The sequence below is a fragment of the Homo sapiens genome, chromosome 5, assembly GCF_000001405.40.
Source record: "Homo sapiens chromosome 5, GRCh38.p14 Primary Assembly".
Taxonomy (NCBI): domain Eukaryota; kingdom Metazoa; phylum Chordata; class Mammalia; order Primates; family Hominidae; genus Homo; species Homo sapiens.
This window is the reverse complement of record NC_000005.10, coordinates 178,497,004-178,509,487: the sequence shown is the minus strand read 5'-3', so window position 1 is coordinate 178,509,487 and position 12,484 is coordinate 178,497,004. Positions and strand designations below refer to the sequence as shown.

Sequence of the window (12,484 nt, the reverse complement as noted above, 5' to 3'; positions counted from 1 at the left end):
GCACTTTGGGAGGCCGAGGCGGATGGATCACAAGGTCAGGAGTACAAAACCAGCCCGGCCAAGATGGTGAAACCCTGTCTCTACTAAAAATACAAAAAAATTAGCCGGGCATGGTGGTGGGCGCTTGTAGTCCCAGCTACTAGGGAGGCTGAGGCAGAGAATTGCTTGAACCTAGGAGGCAGAGGTTGCAGTGAGCTGAGATTGCGTCACTGCACTCCAGCCTGGGCAACAGAGTGAGACTCTGTCTCGAGAAAAACAAAAAAAAAAGAATGCAGGTTCTGATTCCGGAGGTCCGATGCCGGTGGGGTGGGCGGGGGTGGGAGGTGCCTGAGAGTCTGCATTTCTGACAAGCCCTCAGGGGCTACTGTAAACCAATCATGGAGAAGCTGGGATCTAGACCAATTTTTTAAAGATGGGGAAACTGAATCCCAGAGAGGGAAAGGTACTTGACCTTGTGTTATTTTTGTTTCACTTTGGCATCTGAAACATATTTTTAAAGGCTTCAAGTAACTTCCAGTCCTGGAAAAAGAGGAGAAATATTTTCTCTGTTCCTCCTAAGTGCAACTGAAAGCCCTGGACATTATATATAAAACAAACATAAGAAGACTGTTATGATGGGGAGAAGAAGGCAGGCAGCTAGGGACCCTGGGACACAAGGAATGACACAGTGGTGACCTCACAACAAAAGCCTGCTCTCTAGCCAAAGGATCGGGAGAGGGCTAGCCTCGCCAGATGCACTTGTTTAGGTAAGAACTGCTCTGCCCTAACCAAATACCAGCCCTTCTCCATGGTGTTGGTGGAGTGGCCTCTCCCGGCCACGATGGTATCAGTAGTGAGGAGATAGAACTCCCGGGAACTCCCCACAGCAGTACCAAAGAACCTCTTTCTTCTTTGGATATCAACAAAGACCAAGTGGGGAACCTGGTGTCCACCCCACGTGACAGCAACACAGTGGCACCCCCCATCTTTTCCTGCCAGAGTGGTGTCATGGGAGCTGGCTAAGATAGATTAAACAAGATCCAGACTCTGAATATTTTATAATACTCAAAATGTCTAAGTTTCAATGAACAACTACTTGTCATAACAAGAACCAGGAAAATTTCACCTTGGATTAAAAGAAAAACAGCACACACCAACACTGAGATGGCAGAGATGTTGGAATTATCTGGAAAGGACTGTAAAACAGCCATTATAAAAATGCTTCAGTGAGCAATTACAGATGTGTTTGGAACAAATGAGAAATTAAGAATAGAGTCTTAATACAGAAATGGAAAAGATACAAACAAAATGAGGGCTTTAGAACTGAAAAATGCAAAAACCAAAATTAAAAACTCAAAAGATGGTATCAACAGCAGGACAGAGATGACAGAGAAAAGAATCAGTAAACTGGAAGATAGGATATAACAGAAATTTCCCAATCTGAACAACAGAGAGAAAATAGACCAAAGGAAGAAGAAGAAGAAGAAGAAGAAAAAATAAAAAGAGAGAACGGAGCCTCAGAGACCCATGGGACTATCATAGACGATCTAACATTTGTGTCATCAGAATGCTAGAAGGAGAGGTGAAGGGGATGAGCTGACAAGAATTGAAGAAATAATAGTTGAAATGTTCCAAACTTGGCAAAAAACACAAACCCACAGTTCTCAAGAAGCTGAGCAAATCCAAAATACGATAAACAAAAAGAAATCCACATCAACACAAATCCACTTTCCGAAATCTGATGACAAAGAAACAAACTTGAAAGCAGCCAGGGAGAAGCAACACTTTACTTATGGGGAGACAGCAATGTCAATGACAGCAGATCGCTCCTCAGGAACTATGGAGGCCAGAGGAAGTGGCATAAGAAGTTTTCAAACGCTGAGAGAAAAGAACTATCAACCTAGAATTCTAAACTAATGAGGAATCAAGATTCTCAGATGAAAGAAAACAGCAAACATTTATTGACTGTCGACCATGCACCAGGCCCTTTTGAGCTGTGAGCTAGAAACTATTATTATCAGCGTCTTACAGAGCAGGGACCTGAGGCTTTGCACGGGAAGTGGCCAGCTAACGGTTTCACAGTGAGGGGGAGGATTCAAAATGGAGTCTTCCCAAAAGCATGAACTTACACGTGAACAGGACTGTACCTTGCAGCACTCTTTGTAAAGCTAAAGATCGGAAGTTTCTCAAGGATCCATCCAAGGGACTGGCTGGACAGTGTCCGCCCACTCTGTGGTGTTGTGTGGGGCTGTAAGAGGCAATGAGGAGGGACTCTACTATCACCACAAAGTTACTGTCAGGATATTGCCGACTGGAGGAGCCCAGGTGCAGAACTGTGTAGAGAATATGCTGCCTTTTATATAAGAAAAAGGAGGAAATAGGAGTGTGTCTACATATTTGCTTTTATTTTGAAAAGGAGACAATGGAAGAATAAACCACAAGGCTACAAACAGAAATGTACCCTGTTTTATAAGCTGGCTTTGCAACGCTGCAAGTGTTTTTTAACTAGAAAACAAAATTAAACTAAAACGAATAAAAATCATCTCTTAATATTGAAAACAAACGGTCCTGTATACAAAATTGATGGCTTAACCTCACAGAGAATTGTTTCAAGTGACTTTGAACGCAGTAATTCGTGCATTCCAAGTGGGACAAAGAGACAAAAAGAACCACAAATAAAACCTAAACTGTGTTCAGTAGTCTCATTGTTGGTAATAAAAATGGTATTGTTTTGAAACTATGATATATACAAATTTACATATGTGACCATAAGTAATTGTATTAATATCTTTGAGAAGGTTTTCATTGTGAGGGAAGAAGTATAAATTAAGTAAAATCTTGTCGTCATTAGTGAGAATTAGAAACAGCAGTGTTAAATCCTTGCTTTATTCCACACATAATTGCGTTAATATGGTCAGGAGTGACCACAGCCCCACACCAGGCCTCTTGCTCCCATCCAGACCCTACTTCCCACCTCCCACGGAGTTCCTTGTTGGCCCAGGCATTGCTCTTTGCTCATGCCTGCCCAGGGGGATGTTCCTTGGTTGGATGGGGAGGAATAGGCTATATCCATGGCTTCTGCTGCCCCTGAAGCCAGCCTGCAGATGTACCCTGGGGTCCCCTGGTTTCTGATCAAGTCCCTGGAGTGCACGCACCAGCTGCTGCCCTGGTGTGCAGGCTGCAGTGGTGTGGGGCACCCAGGAAGCCTGAGGCCTAAAGAACTGTCAGTCATTTGGTAGGCCGGAAACCACCCTCGCCCAGGACTGGAAAATATCCTCCAGGCTGAGACCTGACTGCCAGGACAGGCTGCAGCCCAGGGGGAAGGAGTGACATGATCATTCGGCGCCGGCCCAGAGCAGGCCTGTGCTGTTTTTTGTTTTTCTCTGTTTGTTCAACCCTCCTCCTCCCGGCCTTCAGCAGACCCGGCCTACCACGTGCTTCACCGGCTCTGCTGCAGTGCAGAGTGGGTATGTCCTATGGGAAACCTCATTTATAGTCTGAAGGCCCCAACAGCCATGGACTTGGGGGGCTGGTTTACCTGTAGGTCTGCTTAGACTCACCGTGGGTCCTGGCCCTTTGTGTCTTCTCCTTGGGGTCTGCTGTCTCAGAAGGTGTTTGCACCCTCACTGACAGGCTCTGTCTGGCACAGGTCCTTCACTTTGTCCAGTTCCAATGATTGGACACCCTGTCCGTGGCTCTGGGCCCATTCTGGATGCCTCCCAAGTCCCCACCATAGTCCTCCTGGGCCTCCATCACTGCTTTGTTTGTCTGCAGATTACCTTCGTGTTATGGGTTGAATTGTGCCCCTTCAAAAAGATGCTGAAGTCCTAACTTCTGGTACCTGCAAATGTGACCTTATTTGGAAATAGAGCCTTTGCACATGATCAAGTTAACATGAGGTGATTAACACGTGCCCTAATCCAATATAACCGTGGCCTCATGAAAGAGGGAAATTTAGGCAGGGGCATGGTGGCTCACATCTGTAATCCCAGCACTTTGGGAGGCTGAGGTGGGCGGATCACCTGAGGTCAGGAGTTTAAGACCAGCCTGGCCAACATGATGAAACCCCGTCTACCAAAAAATATAAAGAAATTAGCTGGGCATGATGGTGTGCGCCTGTAATCCCAGGTACTCAGAAGGCTGAGGCAGGAGAATCGCTTGAACCCGGGAGGTGGAGGTTGCCGTGAGCTGAGATCGTGCCACTGCACTCTAGCCTGGATGACAGAGCAAGACTCTGTCTCAAAAAAAAAAAGAAAAAGGGAAATTTAGACACACACACACCCTGGGAGAATACCGAGTGAAGATGAAGGTGGAGATGGGGTAAGCCACTTACAAGTCAAGGAACGCCACGATTTCGAGCACACCACCAGAAGCCAGGCATGGACCAGACCCCTCCCTCAGCCATGAGGAGGAATTAACCCCTCTGATGCCTTGATCCTGCACTTCCAGCCTCCAGAAGTACCAGACAGTCAACATGTGTTGCTTTAAACCGGTCTGTGGAACTTCGTTATGGCCACCCCAGGAAGCTGATGGTGCTCAGTAAGGAGGTCCCTATTGGGGCCATCTTGTAGTTGTCAGGCCTGCCTCTCATTTTAAGGTGCTTTGAGCCAACACTTCAGAATCCTCACAGATCTCATGTAAAACTCGGATTTCTGGTTTCCCTTGGAGAATCAGAACATCTGCCAACACGGGGCCATTCCTACTTGGCTGCAGGTGGCTGGAGCAGTGCTGGCCACCCCCTTGTTTGCCAGATTCTCTCACCTACGCAGTGCATGTCAAGGCACACACACTGTTGGCCAGCGCACTTCGCCTCACACATGCCTGACTTCTCTCAGCGGGGACCAGCTTCTGAGCTTCTGACCTTTGCTCTAGGACCTGCAGATGGGGGCTGCACCTCCCCTTTCCCCACACCCACTTCCAGTCCACATCGCAGCAGCTGTCACCATCACCCACTGAGAGCCCAGCCTGTGCCTGAGCCCACACCTCAAACCTTGCTCTCTGGCTAGGACGCAGCCCTTTCCTGTGCAGGGACCTCGAGGGTCCCACCTGTTGCCTGTCCCCATCCTCTCGTTTTCATCTGCTGCTGCTCCCAGGGTCCGCCCCACCATGGGCAGCCTCTTGACCCCCAGGCCAGGCCTCCTGAGTCCCAGAGCCAGCAGCTGACCCTCTCACCAAGGGAAGGCAGGTTTTTTTTTAATTGGCATTTTAAAACTCAGAGCAGTTAACTGGTCTGTCTGCCCAACTTAGCAGTTTCTCTTACACTTCAGTGCCTCCTGTCCCCGCCTGAGAATATCGGAAATCGGGGGTCGGGGGTGCGATTGTATGGGAAATTGTGGGGGATGAAAAACAAAGAAGATATGTGACTCATTTTATGCCTCAGACGAAAAGATGACAGGAACTCAGGCCACAGCAATTCAGAGCTCCACCTGGTACAGCCAGGAATGTCTTTCCTGAGATGAGGTGAACTCTTTTTTATCTTTTGCAGCATATTACTTGATAACATACAAAAGATAGTGTCCAAGTCACAAAGCAAAATGTGATCATGAACACCCGAGGACCTGTTTCCCAAGGAGAGACACACAGCAGGGAAGCCCGCACCCTCCCCTCCGGACCTAGCCCAGGGCTCTGCCCGCTCCGCCTTGGGGAATCCTTACCTGGAGTTTTAATTTGTATGCCCCTTCCCCTTCTTTTTTTTTAATGTTTTATTTAAAATAATTTCAAATTCACAGAATTTGCAGAAAAGTTGCAAAGGTTTAAAAAAGTACAAAGAACACCCATATATCCTATACCCAAGTTCACCTTTTTAAATTTTACCCCATTCTTAAAATTATTTATCTCTCTCTCCCTCCCTCCCTTTTCGCACACACAGGCACACACATGCGTTTACATACGTGCACATAATTGTATCAGAACCATTTGATGTGGTCACCTTATGTGCAGCCCCTCACCCCTAAATACTTCAGGGTGATGACAGGAATATTCTCTTACACAACCACATTAAGGTCACTAACTTTAGTGAATTGACCTAATTATGCCGTTTTGTAGCATTTTCTGCCTGCAATACAGGAGCCAGTGATATGTCCTCAGCACTGCCTAAATCTGTAGGAGCATTTTCACAGACTGTCTTTGTCTTTTACATCATTGACTTTTGTTTTTTTTTGGAGACAGAGTCTGTTCGTTGCCCAGGCTGGAGTGCAGTGGTGCAATCTCGGCTCACTTTAACCTCCACCTCCCAAGTTCAAGTGATTCTCTTATCTCAGCCACCACGCTTGGCTAATTCTTGTATTTTTAGCAGACGTGGAGTTTCACCATGTTGGCCAGGATGGTCTTGAACTCTGACCTCAGGTGATCCACCCGCCTCGGCCTCCCAAAGTGCTGGGATTACAGGCGTGAGCCACTGTGTCTGGCCAGCATTGACGTTTTTAAAGAATTTATCTTTCCTCCACTTTCTCTCCTTTTTATAAAATAGAAAGCTCATTGTTCTGGGTTTTTCTAACGTTCCTGACTGTGCTCGTCTGTGACTGGCATCGTGTGTGGGGTTGGCCCGTGCTGCTGGTGGTCGGGAGCTGTCACTCATTCAGTCCTGGTGCTGTGCTGTCACACTGCGTGCAGCGTGTGCTGCGGTTCAGGGGCGTGTGGGCGTGATGGTGGACTTCGGGTATTTCCAGTTTTTTGTTACAGTAAACAGTGCTGCCGGGAACGTCTCTGTGCACGTCTTCTGGCGTGTGTGAGAGTTTCCTTAGGGTTCATGCCCAGAAGTGGCGTTGCTGGACCGTCAACTATGTGAATGTTCAGCTTTTCAATATGATTCCAAAATGTTTTCCAAACATCCTAACGTTCATTTGCAGTGAACAAGACTTCCTGTTGCTCCACATCCTCTCCAGCACTTGATGTGGATGAACTTCTTACTTTCATGACAATCTAGTGTGTAAATGGCCTATGAATTATTGTCTCTTTGTGGTTAATCCAAACCACAAGAGTTTCTCTGATTACTAAGGACACTGAGGATCTTTCCATGTGTTTAGAGTGTATGTGTGTCACATCCTGTGAAGCAGAAATAAGAATACCAACTCTTGTTGGCTGGGCGCAGTGGCTCACGCCTGTAATCCCAGCACTTTGGGAGGCCGAGGCGGGCAGATCACAAGGTCAGAAGATCGAGACCATCCTGGCTAACATGGTGAAACCCCGTCTCTACTAAAAATACAAAAAATTAGCCGGGCGTGGTGGCGGGCGCCTGTAGTCCCAGCTGCTAGGGAGGCTGAGGCAGGAGAATGGCGTGAACCTGGGAGGCAGAGCTTGCAGTGGGCCGAGATCACGCCACTGCACTCCAGCCTGGGCGACAGAGCGAGACTCCATCTCAAGAAAGAATACCACCTCTTGTTTGCTACTTACCATATGTGAAAATGATTTTAAGTACAGATCATTGATCATGGAAGCAGCTTAAGAAGGTAGCGTGATTCTTATCTTCTTTTCTATGCTTGTATTTTGCCTATTCCCTATCAGATTGTCGGTCTTTGTCCTATTGACACCTTCTTAGTGCCCTTCTGTTTTAGCCGTCCTTCCCTGACACGGCCCTGTAGGGGAAGGGTGGGTGCCGCCCACTGCGGGTGGAGGTGGAAGTCCAGGCTCCCCGCAAGGCCTCTGCTGACACCCAAGGCAGGGCCCTGATTAGTGCTGGGCTGGCTGGGTGGGAGTTCCTGGTCTCCAGTGGTGCCCCAGGTGGGGCCTTGTCACTGGCCTGCTCACATGAAGGCCCAGCTCCCTACTTAACCTTGTCTGAGGCTACCCCAGCAGGGGTGTTGGCGTACCTCAGCACAGCCTCTTGAGGGACTAGAGTGGCAGTTGCCTAATGCCCTCTATCATACCAGGATGCCCCTTCCCTGGTCCTTTGGCTAGAAAGAGCAGGCTTTTGCTGGGACTTTTTTTTTTTTTTTGAGACAGAGCCTTTCTCTGTCACCCAGGCTGGAGTGCAGTGGCACAATCTGGCTCACTGCAACCTCCCGGGCTCTAAGCGATTCTTCTGCCTCAGCCTCCCGAGTAGCTGGGACTGCAGACGCCCGCCACCATGCCTGGCTAATTTTTTGTATTTTTAGTAGAGACATTTCATCATGTTGACCAGGCTGGTCTCGAACTCCTGACCTCAGGTGATTCACCCACCCAGGCCTCCCAAAGTGCTGGGATTACAGGCGTGAGCCACTGTGCCCGGCCTGTTGGGGCTTTTTTTGGTCTGTGCCTTTTAGTGTTTCCAGGTTACTCATTTCCTCAGCTCCAAGTCTGGGAAATATGAGGTAAAAAGAAAAGCCAGAAAACTGACTGCTGTATCATTCCTTGGGTCCCAAGGTCCCTAGTTGGCCTGTCTTCTCTTCATGGTAAGAGTCTTCTTACATTTTTATATGCATATTTTATAGATAATGCCCTGGGCTTTTATTTGTGCATAGTGGGAGAAACAGGGAAAACTATATCTACTCCATCTACCTAGAAACTGGGCCCTATTGACTTGTAAGAGTTCTTTATGTATTGTGAATACTAATCCTTAGTCGAGAAGTCATGTTACACCTATTGAAAATATTTCGCAGTTTGTGACTTTCTTCATTGTATTTTTGACATCTGTTTTGACAGATGTTCTTGATTTTAATCTAGTTGCACTTATCTGTCTTTTGTTTGTTTTTTCATTTTAGGGTTAGTGCTTTTTGTTTCTTGTTTAAGGAACATTTTCTTACTCCAAGTTTAGAGAGAGAATCTCTCATAATTTCTTCTAAAAATTTTAATGTTTTTGCTTTTCACATTTAAGTTGTTTATCTACCTGGAATTGATTTTGGTGTATGTTATGGGGTAGGGATCCAATTTCTTTTTTTTTTTTTTCTTTTTCTGGGTTTTGTTGTTTTTTGTTTTGGTTTGTTTTTTGAGACAGGTTCTTGCTCTTCCTCCCAGCCTAGAGTACAGTGGTGCAATCATGGCTCACTACTACCTCGAACTCCTGGGCTCAAGTGATTCTCCCACCTCAGCCTCTCAAGTAGTTGGGACTAGAGGCAGGCACCACAGTACTCGGCTAATTAAAACCATTTTTTTTTTTTTTTTTTTTTTGTAGAGATGGGGTCTTGCTTTGTTGCCTAAGCTGGTCTCCAACTCCTGGCCTTAAGTGACCCTCCCGCCTCGGCTTCCCAAAGTGTTGAGATTATAGGCCCAAGCTACCACACTCAGCCTCAATTTCATATTTTTAAACAGTCTCATTGAAATATAATGGAAAATTAACATTTAAAGTGTACAGTTTGGTAAGTTTGACATATATGTATACATACACTCATGAAACCATCACTACAGTAAAGAAAATAAACATATACATCACCCTAAAAGTTCCTTCCTGCCTCTTCGTTTTATTTTTTGCTTCTCCACAGAGTAAGCTCTGCCTCCTGCCTCTTTGTAATCCTTCCTCCCTGTACCTCCCCACCCTCTCTCCATTCCCAGGTGACCACTTACCAACTTTCTGTTACTATAACTTATTATGGGCTTCCAAGAAGTCTATGTAACTGTAATCATACAGTATGGACCATTTTGCTTGATATGGTTTCTTTCATTCAGCGTAATTATATCAAGATTCACCCATGGTGTAGCATTTATAAATAATTTGTTCTTTTTTATTGTCAAGTACTATTCTATTGCATGTCTCTAACACAATTTGTTTATCCTTTTGCTAATTGATAGATATGTGGATTGTTGCCAGTTTTTTATCTATTACAAAGAAGGCTGCTAGGAACATTCTTGGACCAGTCTCTGTATGAACACATGCTTTCATTTCCTTGGAGTCAAATGGTTGATCATTTATTAGGTATACGATTAACTTTTTAAGAGACTGACATGACAGTTTGTGTGATGCCACGTTACAGTCGTGGTCATATCTTCCTGGGTTCCTCTTAGCTGTGATAAATTCTCAGACTTTGTTTTTGATGACCTTGACAGTTTTGAGGAGTACTGGTCAGGTATTTTGTAGAATGTTCCTGAACTTGGGTTTGTTTGATGTTTTTCTCATGGTTGAACTGGGCTGATGGAGATGTAGGAGGAGGGTCACAGAGGTGAAGTATCCTCATCACAGTGTATCAAGGCACGTAAGATCAGCGTGACATCGCTGCTGATGTTGAGCTTGAGTCATCTGGTGGGGCAACGTGTGTCTGATTTTTCCGCTGTAAAATTATCCCTCCCTTCTCCTCCTTTTCAGGCAGCGAGATCTCTTTCATCCTCTAATTTTTAAAATAGCACCATGTCCGGTTTCATAGGCGCGTTTAAAAAATCTCTCTGAGAGTGTTGATATTTTTGTGGGGTTTTATGTGTGGGTGTTTTTTCTGTTTTCTTTCCTTTTTTGGCTGATATTAGTCAGATGTGTTTTTAAAGCTTTTTGCTTTTATTTTATTTATTTATATTTTTGAGATGGAATCTCACTCTGTCACTGAGGCTGGAGTGCAGTGGCATGATCTCAGCTCACTGCAACCTCCGCCTCCCAGGTTCAAACAATTCTCCTGCCTCATCCTCCTGAGTAGCTGGGATTACAGGCAAGGACCACCATGTCTGATTAATTTTTTTTTTTTTTTAGAAGAGATGGGGTTTCACCGTTGGCCAGGATGGTCTTGAACTCCTGACCTCAGGTGATCCACTCGCCTCAGCCTCCCAAAGTGCTGGAATTACAGGTGTGAGCCACAGTGCCCAGCCACTTTTTGCTTTTAATATGTCTATGTCCTTTATGCGTTAGGCATGTCTCCTGTAAACAGTACATAGTTGGATTTTTTAATCATCCAATTGTCAATCTGTTTCTTTTACCTAATAATTTTACTCTACTTAGATATGTAGTATTTATTGATTTATTCGGACTTAAAAATATTTTAAAAATATTTCCAATTGTCTCACTTTTTCTAGGCTTATCTAGTTCTCACCTTTATAATGATCTTATTTTGTGTTTATATTCCCTTCTTTTCATTTGTTTCTATCAGTTGTAATACACACACTCTACTATTTTTCTCATTTTTTATTGAAGTAAACTTAATAAATAGTAAGATGCACAAAGCCTAATTGTTAGTTTTACTGGACACATAATTTTAGGCTGTCAGATACTTTTTTTTCAACACTCGGAGGATATTCTACCATTTGCTGGCTTCTAGTATTTGTGTTGATAAATCTGTTGTCATTCTAATAGTCATGCCTTTAAAGGTAAAATGTGTTTCTTTAATTTTTTATTTTTATTTTTTTATTTTTAAGTTCTTTTATATATATATATATATATATATATATATATATATATATATATATATATATATTTAAATAAAGACAGGGTCTCGCCATGTTGCCAGGCTGGTCTCGAACTCCTAAGCTCAAATGATCTCTCACCTTGGCCTCCCAAACTGCTGGGATTATTGGTGTGAGCCACCGCACCCAGAGTCTATAAATACTTTTAAGATCTTTTCTTTGTCTTGATGTTGGGTACTGTTGTTGTACATAGGTGTTGATTTCTTTTTATTTATCCTGTTTCAGATGTTTTGCTTCCTAGAGTTGTGAATTTATTCTTTTTCTTCAACTTGGTCATAGGAAATTTATATATATTCTCTTTTAAATATGCCTTTTCTCCAATTTTTTTATTCTTTCTTTTTGGGACTCATTCTGTTCTTCATATGTCATTTTTATTTTCCACATTATGTCTTAATAAAATTGCATTCTTGGTAATATATTTGATATATGTTCCAGTTCATTAATTCTTCAGCTTTATCTAATCTCCTATTTAACTCACCCATTAAATGTTTTTATTTCAACCATTATACTTTTTGTGTATAGATGCTACATTTCCCCCAAAACTTCTTACTCAGTCCTCGTAGTCTCTTCTTGTTTCCTTATCTTTGTGATTACATGTTTCTGTAAACATTTTATGTGTAGCTGTTCTGTAATTCCATTTCTGGTCATTTCGGTATGGAGGAGAGACATCTTTGTTGCTTCTTGTTTCTCCTGACTCTCATCCACAGGGCCTTGCCTTCTTCCACGTTAATCTTTGATTATGAGCTCATTGCTTGACCATCATTTGTGGGACTCCTTACTCTAAATTGGAGAATTTTTCCTCCAGGTCAGATTTGCTTCTCCAACGGCCAGCAGCCCTGGGGATACACTGCTGTGGAACTATATGAGCCATTTCTGAGGATCTTGATGCAGCAAAGCTGGACATTCCAGCCCAGTTTCCTTTGCTGTTGACTTGAGGCTCTGTGTCCTGATAGCGATGCCTCTGTTGCCATTAGGACCGCGTGGCTCCTCAGGTTCCTTGCTGCTCTGGCACTGCACAGCTCATGGTTTTGTTTTCTATGTAGTGGGTGGGATCCTTGACAAACCATTTGCTTCTTTTGGTAGCAGTACTGACTCAAAGAGTGTTTCCTATCCACAGAACACCGTGACAGCCATTATACCAGACGTAGAGTTCTGAGATGAGATTTTTCAGTCCTCAGCCAGGAAACCAAATGGAATTCTAGGAGCTTAAGAC

At 44.3% G+C, this 12,484-nt stretch overlaps 1 protein-coding gene across 11 annotated transcripts in view, besides 2 other annotated features; it reads left to right on the top strand.

Annotated features, from left to right (window-relative positions):
- The window catches only part of COL23A1 (collagen type XXIII alpha 1 chain), a 352,776-nt gene that overhangs the window by 80,906 nt on the left and 259,386 nt on the right, over positions 1-12,484 (top strand). The gene's annotated exons all lie outside the window — the stretch shown is intronic.
- Positions 6,086-6,586: an enhancer, noted in NCBI's record as "H3K4me1 hESC enhancer chr5:177929903-177930403 (GRCh37/hg19 assembly coordinates)". NCBI's record gives its function as "activates a minimal SCP1, AML or CMV promoter by ChIP-STARR-seq in naive H9 embryonic stem cells {active_cell/tissue: H9 hESC(naive)}" and the evidence as "EXISTENCE:reporter gene assay evidence [ECO:0000049][PMID:30033119]".
- Positions 6,587-7,087: an enhancer, noted in NCBI's record as "H3K4me1 hESC enhancer chr5:177929402-177929902 (GRCh37/hg19 assembly coordinates)". NCBI's record gives its function as "activates a minimal SCP1, AML or CMV promoter by ChIP-STARR-seq in naive H9 embryonic stem cells {active_cell/tissue: H9 hESC(naive)}" and the evidence as "EXISTENCE:reporter gene assay evidence [ECO:0000049][PMID:30033119]".